The sequence below is a fragment of the Homo sapiens genome, chromosome 15 (assembly GCF_000001405.40).
Source record: "Homo sapiens chromosome 15, GRCh38.p14 Primary Assembly".
Lineage (NCBI taxonomy): Eukaryota > Metazoa > Chordata > Mammalia > Primates > Hominidae > Homo > Homo sapiens.
The window spans coordinates 59,125,504-59,144,452 of record NC_000015.10 but is presented as its reverse complement, the minus strand read 5'-3'; the positions used below and the strand labels follow the sequence as shown (position 1 = coordinate 59,144,452).

At 45.5% G+C, this 18,949-nt stretch overlaps 1 protein-coding gene across 1 annotated transcript in view, besides 2 other annotated features; it reads left to right on the top strand.

Annotated features, from left to right (window-relative positions):
* MYO1E (myosin IE) overlaps positions 1-12,019 on the top strand; it is a 240,438-nt gene extending 228,419 nt beyond the window's left edge. Inside the window, exons 27-28 of the mRNA NM_004998.4 lie at positions 6,086-6,255; positions 6,997-12,019. Of these exons, the coding sequence (NP_004989.2) occupies positions 6,086-6,255; positions 6,997-7,073 (247 nt within the window). The 3' untranslated portion in view covers positions 7,074-12,019. The remainder of the gene's footprint in view (positions 1-6,085; positions 6,256-6,996) is intronic.
* Positions 5,949-6,243: an enhancer, noted in NCBI's record as "tiled region #4265; K562 Activating DNase matched - State 5:Enh, and HepG2 Activating DNase unmatched - State 12:CtcfO". NCBI's record gives its function as "activates a minimal TATA promoter and a strong SV40 promoter by Sharpr-MPRA in K562 cells, with weaker activation in HepG2 cells {active_cell/tissue: HepG2 | K562}" and the evidence as "EXISTENCE:reporter gene assay evidence [ECO:0000049][PMID:27701403]".
* Positions 12,518-13,017: an enhancer, noted in NCBI's record as "H3K4me1 hESC enhancer chr15:59423635-59424134 (GRCh37/hg19 assembly coordinates)". NCBI's record gives its function as "activates a minimal SCP1, AML or CMV promoter by ChIP-STARR-seq in naive H9 embryonic stem cells {active_cell/tissue: H9 hESC(naive)}" and the evidence as "EXISTENCE:reporter gene assay evidence [ECO:0000049][PMID:30033119]".

The window sequence follows — 18,949 nt, the reverse complement described above, 5'->3', positions numbered from 1 at the left end:
GCTCACAACTGTAATCCCAGCACTTTGGGAGGCTGAGGCGGGCGGATCACTTGAGGTCAGGAGTTCAACACCAGCCTAGCCAACATAGTGAAACCCCGTGTCTACTAAAAATACAAAAATTAGCTGGGTGTGGTGGTGGGCGCCTGTAATCCCAGCTACTTGGGAGGCTGAGGCACGAGAATTGCTTGAACCTGGGAGGTGGAGGTTGCAGTGAGCCGAGATCATGCCACTGCACTCCAGCCTGCGTCATAGAGTGAGACTCAGTCTCAAAAAAATAAAAATAAATTAATAAATAAATAAAAGGAAAAAGAAAAAGGACCTAGGCCATTGCCTGAATCTGCTCAGGTTTTACAGATGCAGAGCTTGGCCCCAAACCCAGCACACAGACTCAAGCCCACGTCCCCCTCCTGCTACACACTGTCAACATAGAGCTTGAGGCCCCATCTCAGGGGGAGTTAGCCAAATAGCCACACAAGTCACTGTCATGCTACAATTGACCCATGTTCTGGAGAAGCCGTGGGCTAGGAGAGGGTATGGCCGGGGGTTTGCCAGAGTATGAGGAAGCAGTGATGGAAATGAGATCCGAAGGCCGAGCAGGAGTTAGCAGTGCTGCCTGGGAAGTGGGCAGAGGCCAGGGGAGCATAGCCAGACCAAGGATCCAGAAAGATTCCATGTGGCTGCAGTGCCAGGAGCCTTAGGCGTGTGCCACCATGTTGGCCAGGGATGAAACCAGCAGGAAATCCCAGGAGCCTGCATCAGTCATCTCACAGGAGTGTCGTGAGGGTGAAATGAAGCAGCATCTGTGAAAATGCCTAGGACAAGGCCTGGCTGAGTTGAGGGGAGTTTATCCAGACTTCACACAGCTACCGGCAGTTTCCCAGAAGACATCCTGTCTGCTAGCCCTCACAAGAAGGGTGTAGACATGTGCAGGCTGGCCAGGGAGAATGGCTCTCACTGTGGCTCGCTTTGGGAATATGCCGCCCCAGCAAAGCAGCTGTGCCTCTTTGTGGTCACAAGACAGAGCCAATGGTGGCAGCATCAGTGTTGCCCTTCCTAATGCAAAGTGCAAACTGCAGAGGTCCTCCCTCCTCCACCCACCTGCCCACTCCTCCCGGCTGCCATCAGACAGTCCCCACTATCCACACCCATCTCAAAGCTGCCCTGGCCTCCCCCACCTCTCACCTGTGGAGTTACTAGGAACCCCATTCAGCCTAGTGATAAAGGGCCAAATGGCTTACACTGCCAGCATGGTAGCAGTTGTCCACAACCTGGACAATTATGGACCCCAAATTCCCCGGGTAATTTCGGAGGTTTTACTTTGGCCAGGAGTCACTTATCCTGAGGAAGTAGCCTCTGATGCCTTGATATCAAAGACCACGCAGTGGCCACATACACACAGCTTTTTGCGTCCTGCATCCCCTTAGGTCTTATTTATAATTTGGTATCTTATCACCAGAAAGAATCCGTTCCATGAGACTTACGATCTCTAGTTTAAAACAATCTAGACGCCTTTTTTTTTTTTTTTTTTTTTTGCACCTAATTACCCTGGCTAGAGTTTCCAGGATAATATTGGACAGAAGTGGTGAGTGCTGACATCCCTGTTTTGTTCCTGATCTTATGGGGAAATCATTGTGAGTTTCACCAGTAAATATGATGTAAGCTTGAAGTATGTGGACAAGGGTCCTCTCCCCAACCAGGGCTCATGAAGAAAGGTAGGAAGGCACCAATGTGGCCTGCAGCAGGGAGTAAGGCTGGGGTGTGAGCAGGGGCCGCCCCTGGCAGAGTCTGTAGGCGCCATGAAGGGTTTTGGTCCTTTTTCCAAGAGCAGAGAGAAGCTGTTAGAAAGATTTTCAGGTTGAGGATGGGGCGAACTAATAACAGCTGAGCTAGCATGAGGGCCAAGTGTCCTAGAAAGGAAACAACTGGCAAGGAAGACACGAAGGACAGAAACAGGTCTTAGTCAAAGCTGGAGGCAGGTGGGGCAGAACAAGTGGGTGATGCCCAGGGCAGGGAGGGTCTTACCTCTCAGGAGCCATCCGTCTTGTCTTCCCACTAAGAGGTCTTACCCCGACCCTGGCGAGGGGAGTCCTTCAGCAGGAGGACCCTGTATCTAAGCCCCCATACTTGGGCTCCAGAGACCTTGTCAGTCTACACTAAGGACACTAGGGTTTTTCCCTGAACAAGACAGGACAAATTAGCATCTGTGGGTTCAACTGGCCCGCTGTGCCCATGGGTTCCACATCTGTGGATTCAACCAAACTTGGAATGAAAATATTCAGAAAAAATATGGATAGATGCCTCTGTAGTGAACATGTACAGACTTAAAAAAAAAATTTTTTTTTTTTTGGGATGGAGTCTCACTCCGTTTCCCAGGCTGGAGTGCAGTGGCACGCTCTCGGCTCACTGCAAGCTCCGCCTCCCTGGTTCACGCCATTCTCCTGCCTCAGCCTCCCGAATAGCTGGGACTACAAGCGCCCGCCACCACGCCCGGCTAATTTTTTGTATTTTTAGTAGAGACGGGGTTTCACCGTGTTAGCCAGGATGGTCTCTATCTCCTGACCTCATGATCCACCCACCTCGGCCTCCCCAAGTGCTGGGATTACAGATTACAGGCGTGAGCCACTGCACCCAGCCTTTTTTTTTTTTTTTTTTTTTGAGACAAAGTCTTACTCTGTGGCCCAGGCTGGAGTGCAGTGGCTCAATCTCGACTCACTGTAACCTCCATCTCCCGGGTTCAAGCGATTCTCCTGCCTCAGCCTCCCAAGTAGCTGGGACTATAGGCATGCACCGTCACGCCCAGCTACCGTCTGTATTTTCAGTAGAGACGGGTTTCGCCATGTTGGCCAGGCTGGTCTCGAACTCCTGACTTCAGGTGATCCACCCGCCTTGGCCTCCCAAGGTGCTGGGATTATAGGCGTGAGCCACCATGCCTAGCCAGTCCTATATTTTTTAAAAAGCCTTTTTCTTGTCATTATTCCCTAAACAATATAGTATAACAACTATTTACATAGCATTTACATTATATTAAGTATTATAAGTAATCTAGAGGTGATTTAACGTATACAGGAGGATGTGCATAGGTTATATGCAATTGTTACACTTTCATATGAGGGACGTGTCTGTGGAGTTTAGTATCTGTGAGGAGTCCTGGAACCAGTCCCCCAGGGAGATAGGGATGAGTTTTTGGTGTGTGTGCGTGCACATGTGTGCATCTGTGTCCTTCCATGTGCACTTGTAGCCCAGTTCTGTGGACTGCCAGGCTGGAGGCTTCCTCCCTCCCAGGGTGTTGTAATGCCCGCCGCCATCCCCTTTCATTCCTTGTTGCTGAGAAGTCACATGACGTCTGGTATCCAGGCTAATGGCTCTTATTAACCAAATGCTGACACATCCCAATATATAGGGTGCTTAATTAAAAACCTGCTCGCCTGGCCAACTTTCAGAGAAGCAAGCACTTCTTGAACAGGGAATGGGGATTTCCAGTAGGCACTAGGTAGAAAACGAATGATGTCACACTAAGAACCTACAAAATGCCTTTCCTCTGCACTAAGAGAAAAGTGCAGGGGGGTGGTGGTGGTGGGAGGAGTGGAGCCTGAGTAGCCTTGAGGATTGCTCCCTCCCACGTGGGGTGGTGTAAAAGCCGAGTCTCAGGGGCGCCCAGCCCCTCCTGGGGACAGTCCACCACCCTGCTGGCAGTCAGTGTTCCCCCCAGCCACCCCTTTGTGATCCAGGTTGTTCATCAGCACCCCATGAACATCTGTCATCACAGGACCTGGGCAAGGCCAGCAGGCTGTGGCTCCTGAGAGCACAGCTCAAAACTGGGTGTGGTTGTTCTTTCCAGAACTCAGGCCCCAGGAAGGCCCTCCCTTTTCCTCCTTGCTCCTGTAGGTGTGAATGATGTGCACAGACCTAACAGCCAGCCCCACCCTGTTGAGGTCCAGCCCAACTTCTTGAGGGAGAAATCTTAAGTTTGTTTTGTAGGGAAATGAATGTAGCCTTTACTTTGGTTTGTCCTTAAGCGAAGTGGAAAAAAAGAAATGTTCTCCATGTTTCCGTTTTCCTTTTTGTTTTTGCTAAATGCTTTTTATGAACATATTTAATAAATGTTTCAGGTATAAGTGTAAAGATCTCACTAAATAGGAACAAGTTGAACTTACACACCTTTGAAAGAATGTATGAATGGTGACTTAAGGCAGCATAGTATATAGGAAGAATAACTTTAAAGCTAGAAGATCTGGATTAGGGTTAGAGCACTGGAGTTATTTTTAATAATTATGACAGTGGGGTGAAGGGAGTGTCACTGGTATCCAGTGGGTAGAGGCCAGGGATCCTACAGGGCATAGGACAGCCTCCCGCACCCACCCCCATACACACACACACACACACACAACAGAGAATTCCCAGCCGCAAATGTCAGTAGTGCAGATGTTGAGAAACTGCTCTGGATAAACTCTTGTATAAGAATATTTACAGCAACATTTTTGGAGGGGCAAAGGGGAGCTCTGAGGGGTAATAATGAAAGAATGGGAAGGAGACCTGAGGAGTAATAACTGATTGATAAAATGAGAGGGAAGTCTGTGGATTAATAATGAGGGGGTGGGAGGGAAGATTGTGGAGTAATGATGAGGGTATGAGGGAAGTCTGCAGAGTAATAATGAGCAGGTCGGAGGGAAGTGTGAGGAGTAATAATGAGGGACGGGAGGGAAGTCTGAGGAGTAATAATGAGGAGGTAGGAGGGAAGTCTGCAGAGTAATAATGAGGGGTAGGAGGGACATCTGTGGAGTAATAATGAGAGGGCAGAAAAGCCTGTAGAGTAATAAGGAAGGGGTAGGAGGGCCGTCTGCAGAGTAATAATGAGGGATGGGAGGGAAGTTTGACAAGAAATAATGAGAAGGTGAGACGGAAGTCTGAGGAGTAATAATGAGGGGGTAGGAGGGATGTCTGCAGAGTAATAAGGGGGTGGGAAAGAAGTCTGCAGAGTAATGAGCGGGTGAAAGGAAAGTGAGGAGTAATAATGAAGGGGTGGGAGGGAAGTGTGAGGAGTAATAATGAGGGATGGGAGGGAAGTGTGATGAGTAACAATGAGCGGTGGGAGGTAAGTGTGAGGAGTAATAATGAGGGGTTGGGAGGGAAGTCTGAGGAGGAATGAGGGGGGTGGGAGGGAAGCCTGAGGAGTAATAATGAGGGGGTGGGAGGGAAGTGTGAGGAGTAATAATGAGGGATGGGAGGGAAGTCTAAGGAGTAATAATGAACTGGTGGGAGGGAAGTCTCTGGAGTAATGAGGGTGGGTGGATAGATGGGATGGGAGTAGACAGGAGTGAGGTCTGAGGCATAATAAGGTTGTGAATGGGGAGCAAATCTCATGGCAGCATTTTTTATAATAGTGAAAACTGGAACCATCCCAAGTGACCATCCACAGTGCCCTGGAGAAGTAAACTGTGACACACTCACTCGCGCAGTGGTGTAGTATCAGGCAGCAAGGGTGAAGGAACGATAGCTGCAGGCATCAGCAGGGCACGTCATCCAGTTGTTGAGCATGTGACCGTGGAATATGATTCCTTTCATACAGTTGACAGTCGGACCACAAATATTGGCTAGGGGTATTTACATGTGTGGCAAACTGTAGAGATGAGCCAGAGAATGGTTAATACAAACTGTAAGGTGGTGGTAATCTGGGGGGAATGCAGTGAAGGAGAAATGCCTACAGGCTTCTGTGGCACCTGCAAAAGTTCCATTTCGAAACTTGAGGAAGGAGGGACAGATACCTGAATGTTCCTGATTTAAATGTATGGGTATACTTTTGACACTTTTTTATGGATATGTGTCTCCCACATTTCCTTCTATGCTGGGGACACAGTGACAACAGCAGCTAAGGTTTTTAAGAGCTATGTGCATTTGCAACAACCTTGTCAGAAAAGTTACTTTTATTCCTCAAGTTTAAAGACTGCACCCTGGGCCACATGTCTTCTAAGGATGGAGCTGGATTTGAACTTGAACAGGCCAGTGCCGGCCGCCATGCTCCAAACCACCGTTCGGTGCTGCTGCCCCCTGTTGGGGCCCAGTCTCATCTGCTCCACTCTCTCCACAGGGTCAGGAGACAAACAACCAGTCGGCCTCCCCCAGCAGGGGGCAGACCCAAGCCCCAGCCCAAGCCCAAGCCTCAGGTGCCACAGTGCAAGGCTTTGTATGCCTATGACGCTCAGGACACAGACGAACTCAGCTTTAATGCCAATGACATTATTGATATTATCAAAGAAGGTAAGTGTGTGGCTGGTTGGCTGGGACAGCCTCCCAAAGAGCATGCAGTCACATTGCTGTAAGATCTAGTGTGAAAATGAAAAGAATTTATGGGCTCCTCAAACTGCAATTTGTAGAGGCAGGTCAGGCCTCAGGCTCAGTCTGATCAAGACACCAGCTTTTTTAATGCTTCTTTCAGCTCTGCCCCCTTATTTATATTCCCTCCCTTGTCAAGCTGTTTTTCTTCATGGTAGCAAAACGGCAGCAGCAATTCCAGGCCAACATATCAAACCATGTCTGAAATGTGCATCATCTCTGAAACTTCTGTTCTTAGTCATTGGACAAAAGTCCTGACTTTTATTCTGATCAGACCAAATTAGCCATGTGTCCATCCCTGAACCAACTTCAGTAGCAAGACAAAGGCTGTACCCTGAGAGGATGAGACCTGGTAGGGGCTGTCCCCAGAAACGGGGAGGTCTGTCCCACCCACACTTCCTGGCTTCTTCATAATGAAAGTGGATGGAGTGGAAGCCAGGAAGACAACCTTGAATATCCATTATTAAAGCAGTCCATGGGCTTGGCTGAGTGCTTTATTAATTTGGTAGATATCTTACTTTTTTCAACAAACTTTTTGATTTAAAGAACAAAGGGAAAACAACATGGATGGAGCCAAATCACTTGAGCCCATGGGAGCGGAGTGTGTGTGGCTGGGGCAGAACAGACTTTCTCATCTTCACTTCCACCACCTCTCTCTCCCTGCAGATCCTTCTGGCTGGTGGACGGGTCGACTACGAGGCAAGCAGGGCCTGTTCCCCAACAACTATGTGACCAAGATCTGAGGTGCCCGTGACTCTGACACATGGGGCAGAGGAGCTCCAGGCACAGACCAGGGGAGGGGATATTTAGGGGCTCCCCTTACAATCCACAATGAGCAATTGCTTCTCCAAGGCCTGGAGCTATTCTGGTACCTTCCCCATGGAGGACACTGAAAAGGCTGGGTTGGGGACAGGGAGTATCACTCCATAAGTGATCCTAAAAGGTAGCCTCTTCATAGGAACCCAGGAGGACAAAACCACCATGCATTAAGATTTATTTATTGTATTTAAACCTGGTGAGAGGACAAGTGAGGTCTGCTCAGACCTTGTAGGCTTCTATCAAAACAGCACCCTGCTTGCTCACCAGGCCTAGAGAATGGCTGTAGGTGGCCGCTGACAAGTGCCTTTAGTTGAAGAGCACATTTCTTTCATCTCTCTTGTCCATACCTGATAGACACATTCCTCTCTGCCACCTTCCTTCAGGGAGGACCCGCCCTCTGCAGACTGGGCTTAGCGTGAGCAGGCACTTCCCATGTACGTGCCAAGGGTAAGCTGGCCTGCTGAGCCCAGGGCGACAGAGGGGCACTGGTTTACACTTTGCCGGGACCATCAGGGCCGCCAAGCAGGTCAGGGGCTGGGGGCTGGGGGCTGGGCTGCTGGCTTTGCTTTCTCTGGGTCTTCAATTAGAATGTGGCTGGCCCATATTGGTTTGTGTTTAAATGCTGTACTTACTACAAGAAGGATCTTTTTTCAAGCTGTACATTTATAAAAACAGATCATATACTGTATATATAAAAATCTTGAGATGGTAGAAACATGTATGAATGTACTAAGTAGTATTCCACTGTACTCATTCATAAGGTAGGTTTTCTTACAAAACTCACACCAGGTACTTAAAGATGTGCTCTGCTTTTTTCCAACTACGGAGTGTCACTGCTTTCTAGGTCAGTCCCTGCAGACTCTTCTCAACTCTTTCCCTATAGGAAACTTACTCCGCGTCCTGCCCCCACCTCCTAAATAAATAAAGGAATCGGCGAACACCTTCTTCTTTTATGACATTTGTTATGGGTTGAATTGTGTGCCTCCAAAGAAGATGTTGGAGTCCCAGCCACCAGTACCTCACAATATGACCTTATTTGGAAATAGAGTCTTTATGGAGCAAACAAACAAAACTAATTAAAATGAAGTCATTAGAGTGGGTCTTAATCCAATATAATGGTGTCCTGATGAAAAGGGGAAATTTGGACACAGAGACCAACATGCCAGAGGAAAGACCATGTGAAAAGGCAGGGAGAAGACAGCCATTCACAAGCCCTGGACAGAGGCCTGGAACAGATTCTCCCTCACACCCTCACAAGGAACCAGCCCTGCCCACCTTGGTCTTGGACTTCCAACCTCCAGAACTGTGAGGCAATACATTTCGCTGTTTAAGCCACTCGGTTTGTGGTAGTTTGTTACGGCAGCCCTAACAAACTAAAACAATGTTTTCTTGCCATAATAGTGAAAAGCTGGAATCAGTGTAATGCCCATCAATAATGGAATGGTTGTAAGTAGAGACTGCCATTTCTCTACCTTTCCTCCTCTGGGTGCCATAGCCATTCTTAAGCTACTGGTAACTTAGAGTTTGAGCAGCATACACCTTTGAGGCTTTCAGGATCCTCAAGTCCATGGGAAAAAATTATCAGGGCTTACGTATAAGGGAAAAAAATTGATCTAGATTTGAAACGAAGATACATTTAATTCTGCTGTGTTTTACTTCAAGAACAGGGAGCAAACTCCATTCTGTAACAGTAACGAATAATGTTAAAAGGCTACTTCAGTTCCATGTTGCGACCAGAGAGGAAAGTAGAGCCATGATGCGGTGAGTTGAGGAAAGGTAATCCTGTTGACACTAGTGGTCTCTAAAGTACTTTCACATTCATGGACTCCCCGCAGTGGGAGGAAGATACCACCAGAACTGGGACAGAGGAGCATGCTGGAGTCCCCACAGCCACCAGCACTCAGGCTGCGTTCTCAGGGCAGGAACACCAGGACCATCTTCCCTTGTTATCATAAGCCCCTGGCTGGCTGGGACAAGCCTTTGTTTTTCCTCCTGATTGATTGATTGGCATTTTACACTTGTGTGTAACTGGGAACCATCGGGCTCTAGGTCACAAAACAGGGACTGAGTTAAACCCCCACGAGTAACACCCTCATCCATGGAAATCACAGACCAAGCCCTTAGCACCTGCATCGTGTGCCCAGCCAGTGCCAGGCTCAAGGAGATGCCCAACAAATGGTGCTGAAATAGGTAAGTGACCCACAGGGGAAGGAGACTTAGATCTGCGTAGAGATGCTGAAATGCTGACACTATTAAGAAAAGTTTGGAGAAATAGTGGTTTATCTTAAACTTATTTGTATATATTTAGAAATTCAACATGGGGACTACCAGAAAAATCTGGGATAAATAACATTTCCCTTTTTTTCCTAATTAAAAAGTCTTCAGAAAAATGTCTTTTTTCCCTTTAAGACACTAACCTGGGTTTCCTCTAGTCTGTGGATCTAGCCTGGCCTGCCATTTTGTTCACTGTGCAGTTAAGCAAATATGACCACTTTAGGAGTCACTTACCAGGAAAGAACATACAGAAGATCAAGGGGCCACCCCCACCTTCTGGAACTTGCCATCCTGTTTGAAATAAGGGGTGTTCATGTGCACACACAGCAACGTGTATAGCAGTATCAAACACAGTATAAAAATGTGACATCCCTTCAACCAAAGGTTTTAAGTAACCAGGAACTAAATGAGAAGGCCTGACTGTGTACCCTAGGGTAGAGGTGTTCAAGCTTTAGTTGTAGAAGAGAGAGAGACAGAGGTCTGTATAAGGGTGGTATCCACTCTACTGATGGCCGTCTGTGAGACAGAGAGAGGCTGATCTGAAACTCCTGGGATCAAACGATCCTCCTGCCTCAGCCTCTCAAAGTGCTGGGATTATGGGCAAGAGCCACCGTACCTGGCCAACTGGCTTAAAGACATGCAAAAGGGCCGTCTCTTCCACAGTGTTTTGTGAAACAATACAGAGACATGTGGAGAGGACAAAGGGTGAAGCCTTCTTGAATAAGCTTGCTCCCCAACCATGAAGGATGCCAACCCACTGACCTCCCAACGTGTGGTCCCAGCCCATCGTAATCAAACCTGACTCCCCACTACTACCAAGTCCAGCCCAATGAAGGTAGAAAAGCATCGTGCAGTTTCCTCCTTAAAGGACCTGCCCTGTGTGCACACCATGTCCACCAATATTCTGCTGGCCAGAGCTTAGTCATGTGGCCTCAACTCAAGGGGGCTGGAGGTCTCTGCACAGAGCTGTCTCAGCAGCTTACCCAGAGCACCAGAGTGACAGCGGGCTCCTGCCAGGTGGAAGTGTTCACAAAAATGAGTAAGAGAAAATATGGATGTGCCTTTATGAATTACAAACTCCATGGGCTTCCATAGAGCATGGCTTTTACATAATCTAAATTCCTTCTCTTTGCGACTCCCTCCTGAACTCATCCCCAGACCCTCCCTGAGTGGAGCTGGTCACACCAAGTCAGCCTGTGCCTCTAGTTGCTACCATTTCTTTTATAGGTGTTGTCCCAGTTAAGATTTCACTGGCAGTAGGGCTGGATTCTGGTTTCCAGGGCAATCAAGAGCAGAGCATGAACGGTGCGTCTTTGGTAGACAATTTAACTCTGTGTTTCTGGCACCCCTCACTTTTGTGATCAAAAGAAAGACCAGAGGAGCCTTTCTGCAATTCTGCCCTCTTTCCCTGTTTTGCTTTTCTCCCAAGGCCTAGCTGATTGATTGCAGTTCTTTCTGGATTTAGTAACTTGGTTTTATTCCTACCCACTAATCTTGATGTCTTTTTCCCTACTAGATCATACCTTTCCACTCTGAGCACCCTTTCTAACAAGAAGACTGGCTCAGTATGGTTCACTAGGTCGCCCAAGGTCACACAGTTCTTCCCTGGGGGAGCCATCACAGGAACTCTGAGTCAAAGGCCTGTGCGTTTTTATTTTCAGACAGCACCTCACTTTGTCACCCAGACTAGAGAACAGTGGTGCGATCATGCCTTACTGCAGTCTCAAACTCCAGGGCTCAGGTGATCCTCCCACCTCAGCCTCCCAAGTAGCTGGGACCACAAGCATGTGCCACCACATTCGGCTAATTATTTGTACAGATGGGGTCTCCCTGTGTTGCCCAGCTGGTCTCAAAGCTCTGGGCTCAAGCAGTCTTCCCGCCTTGGCCTCCCAAAATTCTGGGATTACAAGCATGAGCCACTGTGCCCAAAAGGCCTGTGCTTTTAATCATTTTCTCCAATTCAACAGATATTTAGTAATGTGATGGTCTACTGTGTCAGCCTTTCAACTTCCAATATCTTCCTCTCAGAACATAAAAGTCTATTTAAAAAGAGAGAGAGAAGAAAACTCACGCATAAAACTCAACAGCTAGAAACTTGTAAGCTCCTTTAATGGGCAGGAGCTCCATCTAACAAATCTGAATCCTCTGATTCATCTCTTTCCAAGACCATTAACCTTCTCTTTAAAATAATTAACAGCTATGTTCAAGTATCTTCTTCACACTAGAAGCTATACTAAGTGCTTGGCATACTTTACTTAGCACCACCCTATGAGGGAGACACTCTTATCCCCACTTCACAGGTACAGAAACTAAAGTATAGAGATCACCACTACTTAAAATCAAACCCAAAGCACCCACGTTCAGAGTTAGTGCTCTTCTATACTATGGATACATCATCTCATTTTTAATTTCCGTGTTTTTATGATATGGTTTCTACTTCTGCCACTCATTTCCCATTTATGACATTTTAGTTTGGGGTGCCTGCTGTGCCATCTAAGAAAGTATCTTAAAGGTCTTTTTTTATGACATCCTGGAAGAATTTCCTAAGTCAGGACATTTAATATTTAACTAAGTAAAATATGTAATAAGGAAGCTATAAAATGTCTTTGGAATATGCTTACAAAACTCAGGCGTTCTTGGAGAGAAGTTGAGCTCAAGCATCTCTGGGAAGTAACTGCTTGTCAGAGCCAGGAAAGCTCCCTTTCATGGTCTCACTTCGTTACCATTCACACTTGTGATCAGAGTTGTCCAAGGCTGCCATGGGAACAAGCTTCACTAACCCAATAAGGGATATTCATAAAACTCTATACTAGGATTTCAGCATATAAAGATACCCAAAACTTACAGTTAAAGACATACTAGTCAGGCAGTCCTGCCTGCCCAGGAAGAGAGTAAAAAGCCAGCCCTAACTGGAGCCAGTTTCTCCTCCCCAGGGGCAGTTGTCCTCAAGCTGCACCTGAATCAAAAGAGCAGACGCTGAATTTCTCTGTCAGCAAGAGGCAACCACACTCTAGGTTGGGGAAAATAACTGAGATAAATGAGTTTACTGCAAAGCACAGAACCTTTATGAATCTTCCAATCATTTGCAATGTTTCACAAGTGTATTTGACTAACTAACTCCTTTCTCTTACAACACCAATTAACATCTTGTTAAACCAACGTCTTGGGAAGTTGTTTTTATACGAGACTCACTATGTTTATGGTTTTTGTTTTTAAGTCAATGGTTGGAGGCTGAGGATGCACTCCCCCCGTAGAAAACAATGTTCGAGCGTCCCAGATCGACCTCAGACTGCTGAGCTAGCAGTGAGAATTTCAAGCCAATGGGTGTTAGCTTGCTGGGCTCCGTGGGGGTTGGACCTGACGAGCCAGGCGCCACAGGGAATCTGCTGGTCTGCCGCCGGTTGTGAAGACTGGGAAAAGTGCAGTGTCTGGGCCGGAGTGTACCTTTCCTCCAGGTACAGTCTCTCACGGCTTCCCTTGGCTAGGAAAGGGAAATCCTCCGACCCCTTGCGCTTCCCGGGAAAGGCAACACTCCACCCTACTTCTGCTCGCCCTCCATGGGCTGCACCCACTGTCCAACCAGTCCCAATGAGATGAACCAGGTACCTCAGTTGGAAACGCAGAAATTACCTGCTTGGTTGGGGGAGGGGTGCCTGCCATTGCTGAGGCTTGAGTAGGTGGTTTTACCCTCACAGTGTAAACAAAGCTGCCCGGAAGTTCAAACTGGGCAGAGCCCACTGCAGCTCAGCCAGGCTGCTGCAGCCATACTGCCTCTGTAGATTTCCTCTTTCCTGGGCAGGGCATCTCTGAAGATACGGCAGCAGCCCCAGTCAGGGACATATACATAAAACCCCCATCTCCCTGGGACAGAGCACCTGGGGGAAGGGGCGGCTGTGGGCACAGCTTCAGCAGACTTAAAAGTCCCTACCTGAGAGCTCTGAAGAGTGCAGCAGATTTCCCAGCACAGCATTCGAGCTCTGATAAGGGACAGGCTGCCTCCTCAAGTGGGTCCCTGACCCCCGTGTATCCTGTCTGGGTGACACCTCCCAGTAGGGGCCGACAGACACCTCATAGAGGAGAGCTCTGGCTGGCATCTGACGGGTGCCCCTCTGGGAGGAAGCTTCCAGAGGAAGGAACAGGCAGCAATCTTTGCTGTTCTGCAGCCTCCGCTGGTGATACCCAGGCAAACAGGGTCTAGAGTGGACCTCCAGCAAACTCCAGCAGACCTGCAGAAAAGGGGCCTGTTGCAAGGAAAATTAACAAACAGAAAGGAATAGTAGCAACATCAACAAAAAGGACGTCTACTCAGAGACCCCATCCGAAGGTCACCAACATCAAATACCAAAGGTAGATAAATCCACGAAGATGGGGAGAAACCAGCACAAAAAGGCTGGAAACTCCAAAAACCAAAAAATGCCTCTTCTCCTCCAAAGGATCACAACTCCTCACCAGCACGGGAACAAACCTGGACAGAGAACAAGTTTGACAAACTGACAGAAGCAGGTTTAAGAAGGTGGGTGATAAACTCCTCCGAGCTAAAGGAACCTGTGCTAACCCAATGCAAGGAAGCTAAAAACCTTGAAAAAAGATTAGACGAATCGCCAACTAGAATAACCAGTTCAGAGAAGAACATAAATGATCTAATGGAGCTGAAAAACACAGCACAAGAACTTCATGAAGAACACACAAGTATCAATAGCCAAATCAAGCAGAATAAAGGATATCAGAGATTGAAGATCAACTCAATGAAATAAAGCGAGAAGACAAGATTAGAGAAAAAAGAGTAAAAAGAAACTAACAAAGCCTCTAAAAAATATGGGACTATGTGAAAAAACCAAATATACATTTGAGTGGTGTACCTGAAAGTGACAAGGAGAATAGAACCAAGTTGGAAAACACTCTTCAGGTTATTTATCCAGGAGAACTTCTCCAACCTAGCAAGGCAGGACAACATTCAAATTCAGGAAATACAGAGAACACCACAAAGATATTCCTCGAGAAGAGCAACCTCAAGACACATAATCATCAGATTCACCAAGGTTGAAATGAAGGAAAAAATGTTAAGGGCAGCCAGAGAAAAAGGTTGGGTTACCCACAAAGGGAAGCACATCAGACTAACAGCAGATCTCTCAGCAGAAACCCTACAAGCCAAAAGAAAGTGGGGGCCAATATTCAACATTCAAAGAATTTTCAACCCAGAATTTCATATCCAGCCAAACTAACCTTCATAAGCGAAGGATAAATAAAATCCTTTACAGGCAAGCAAATGCTGAAAGATTTTGTCACCACCAGGCCTGCCTTACAAGAGCTACTGAAGGAAGCACTAAACATGGAAACGAACAACTGGTACCAGTCACTGCAAAAACATACCAAATTATAAAGACCATGGACACTATGAAGAAACTGCATCTACTAACGGGCAAAATAGCTAGCATCATAATGACAAAATCAAATTCACACATAACAATATTAACCTTAAATGTAAACGGGCTAAATGCCCCAATTAAAAGACACAGACTGGCAAATTGGATAAAGACTCAAGACCCATCATTGCGCTGTATGCAGGAGACCCATCTCACACACAAAAACACACATAGCCTCAAAATAAAGGGATGGAGGAATATTTACCAAGCAAATGGAAACCAAAAAAAAAAAAAAAAAAGCAGGGGTTGCAATCCTAGTCTCTGATAAAACAGACTTCAAATGAACAAAGATCAAAAGAGACAAGGCATTACATAATAGTAAGGGGATCAATGCAACAAGAAGAGCTAACTATCCTAAATATATACACACCCAATACAGGAGTACCCAGATTCATAAGGCAAGTTCTTAGAGACCTACAAGGAGACTTAGACTCACTCCCACACAATAATAGTGGGAGACTTTAGCACCCCACTGTCAACACTAGACAGATCAATGAGACAGAAAATTAACAAGGACATCCAGGACTAGAACTCGGCTCTGGATCAGGCAGACCTAACCATCATCTACAGAACTCTCCACCACAAATCAACAGAGTATACATTCTTCTCAGCACCACATCACACTTATTCTAAAATTCACCACATAATTGGAAGTAAAACACTCCTCAGCAAGTGCAAAAGAATGGAAATCATAACAGTCTCTCAGACCACAGTGCAATCAAATTAGAACTCAGGATTAAGAAACTCACTCAAAACCGCACAACTAAATGGAAACTGAACAACCTGCTCCTGAATATCTACTGGGTAAATAACGAAATGAAGGCAGAAATAAAGATGTTCTTTGAAACCAATGAGAACAAAGACACAAGGCACCAGAATCTCTGGGACACATTTAAAGCAGTGTGTAGAGGGAAATTTATAGCACTAAATGCCCACAAGTGAAAGCAGGAATGATCCAAAATCGACACTCTAACATCACAATTAAAAGAACCAGAGAAGCAACAGCAAGCATATTCAAAAGCTAGCAGAAGGCAAGAAATAACTAAGATCGGAGCAGAACTGAAGGAGACAGAGACACAAAAAAACCCTTCAAAAAAAATCAGTGAATCCAGGAGCTGGTTTTTTGAAAAGATCAACAAAATTTCAAAGACCGCTAGCCAGACTAATAAAGAAGAAAAGAGAGAAGAATCAAATAGACACAATAAAAAATGATAAAGGGGATATCACCACCAATCCCACAGTAATGTAAACTACCATCAGAGAATACTATGAACACCTCTACGCAAATAAACTAGAAAATCTAGAAGAAATGGATAAATTCCTGGACACACACACGCTCCCAAGACTAAACCAGGAAGAAGTCGAATCCCTGAATAGACCAATAACAAGTTCTGAAATTGAGGCAGTAATTAATAGCCTACCAACCATAAAAGTCCAGGACCCGACTGATTAGCAGCCAAATTCTACCAGAGGTAAAAAGAGGAGCTGGTACCATTCCTTCTGAAACTATTCCAAACAATAGAAAAAGAGGGAATCCTCCCTCACTCATTTTATGAGGCCAGCATCATCCTAATGCCAAAACCTGGCAGAGACACAACAAAAAAAGAAAATTTTAGGCCAAAATCCCTGATGAACATCGACACAAAAATCGTCAATACAATACTGGCAAACTGAATCCAGCAGCACATCAAAAAGCTTATCCACTGTGATCAAGTCGGCTTCATCCCTGGGATACGAGGCTGGTTCAACATACGCAAATCAATAAACGTAATCCATCACATAAGCAGAACCAGTGACAAAAACCACGATTATCTCAATTGATGCAGAAAAGGCCTTTGACAAAATTCAACACTGCTTCATGCTAAAAACTCTCAATAAACTAGGTATTGATGGAACGTATCTCAAAATAATAAGAGCTATTTATGACAAACCCACAGCCAATATCATACTGAATGAGCAGAAACTGGAAGCATTCCCTTTGAAAACTGGCACAAGACAAGGATGCCTTCTCTCACCATTCTTATTCAACACAGTATTGGAACTTCTGGCCAGGCCAATCAGACATGAGAAGGAAATAAAGGGTATTCAATTAGGAAAAGAGGAAGTCAAATTGTCTCTGTTTGCAGATGACGTGATTCTATATTTAGAAAACCCCAGTATCTCAGCCCAAAATCTCCCTAAGCTGATAAGCAACTTCAGCAAAGTCTCAGGATACAAACTCAATGTGCAAAAATCACTAGCATTCCTATACACCAACAACAGACACAGCCAAATCATGAGTGAACTCACATTCACAATGCCTACAAAGAGAACAAAATACCTAGCAATCCAACTTAAAAGGGATGTGAAGGACCTCTTCAAAGAGAACTACAAACCACTGCTCAAGGAAATAACAGAGGACAAAAACAAATGGAAAAACATTCCATGCTCATGGATAGGAAGAATCGATAGCATGAAAATGGCCATACTACCCAAAGTAATTTATAGATTCAATGCTATCTGCATCAAGCTACCACTGACTTTCTTCACACAATTGGAAAAAACTACTTTAAATTTCATATGGAACCAAAAAAGAGGCCGCATAGCCAAGACAATCCTAAGCAAAAAGAACAAAGCTGGAGGCAACATGCTACCTGACTTCAAACTATACTACAAGGCTACAGTAACCAAAACGGCATGGTACTGGTACCAAAACAGATATATAGTCCAATGGAACAGAACAGAGGCCTCAGAAATATCAGCACACATCTACAACCATCTGAACTTTGACAAACCTGACAACAACAAGCAATGGGGAAAGGAATCCCTATTTAATAAATGGTGTTGGGAAAACTGGCTAGCCATATTTAGAAAGCTGAAACGGGATCCCTTATACTGGTATACCTTTTACAAAAATTAACTCAAGATGGATTAAAGACTTAAATGTAAGACCTAAAACCATTAAAACCCTAGAAGAAAACCTAGGCAATACCATTCAGGACATAGACATGGGCAAAGACTTCATAGCTAAATCACCAAAAGCAATGGCAACAAAGCCACAATTGACAAATGGGATTGAATTAAACTAAAGGGTTTCTGCACAGCAAAAGAAACTACCATCAGAGTGAACAGGCAGCCTACAGAATGGGAGAAAATTTTTGCCATCTATCCATCTGACACAGGGCTACTATCCAGAGGCCACAAAGAACTTAAACAAATTTACAAGAAAAAAAAAAAAACATCAAAAAGTAGACAAAGGATATGAACAGATACTTCTCCAAAGAAGACATTTATGCAGTCAACAAACATATGAAAAAATGCTCATCATCACTGGTCATTAGAGAAATGCAAATCCAAACCACAATGAGATACCATCTCATGCCAGTTAGAATGGCGATCATTAAAATGTCAGGGAACAACAGATGCTGGAGAGGATGTGGAGAAATAGGAATACTTTTACACTGTTGGTGCGAGTGTAAATTAGTTCAACCATTGTGGAAGACAGTGTGGTGATTCCTTAAGGATCTAGAACTAGAAATACCATTTGAGCCAGCAATCCCATTACTGGGTATATACCCAAAGAATTATAAATCATTCTACTATAAAGACACATGCACACATATGTTTATTGCGACACTGTTCACAATAGCAAGGACTTGGAACCAGCCCAAATGCCCATCAGTGACAGACTGGATAAAGAAAATGTGGCACATATACACCATGGAATACTATGCAACCATAAAAAAGGATGAATTCATGTCCTCTGCAGGAACACGGATGAAGCTGGAAACCATCATTCTCAGCAAACTAACACAAGAACAGAAAACCAAACGCTTCATGTTCTCACTCATAAATGGGAGTTGAACAATGAGAATACATGGACACATGGAGGGGAAAACCCCTGCCAGGGGCCTGTCACGGGGTGGGGGACTAAGGGAGAGATAGCATTAGGAGAAATACCTAATGTAGATGACAGGGTGATGGGTGCAGCAAACCACCATGGCACATGTATACTTATGTAACAAACCTGCATGTTCTGCACATGTACCCCAGAACTTCAATTAAAAAAAAAAAAAGTTCAATGCCCATTAAAAACCAACCAAACAAAAAAATGCAAAGCCATT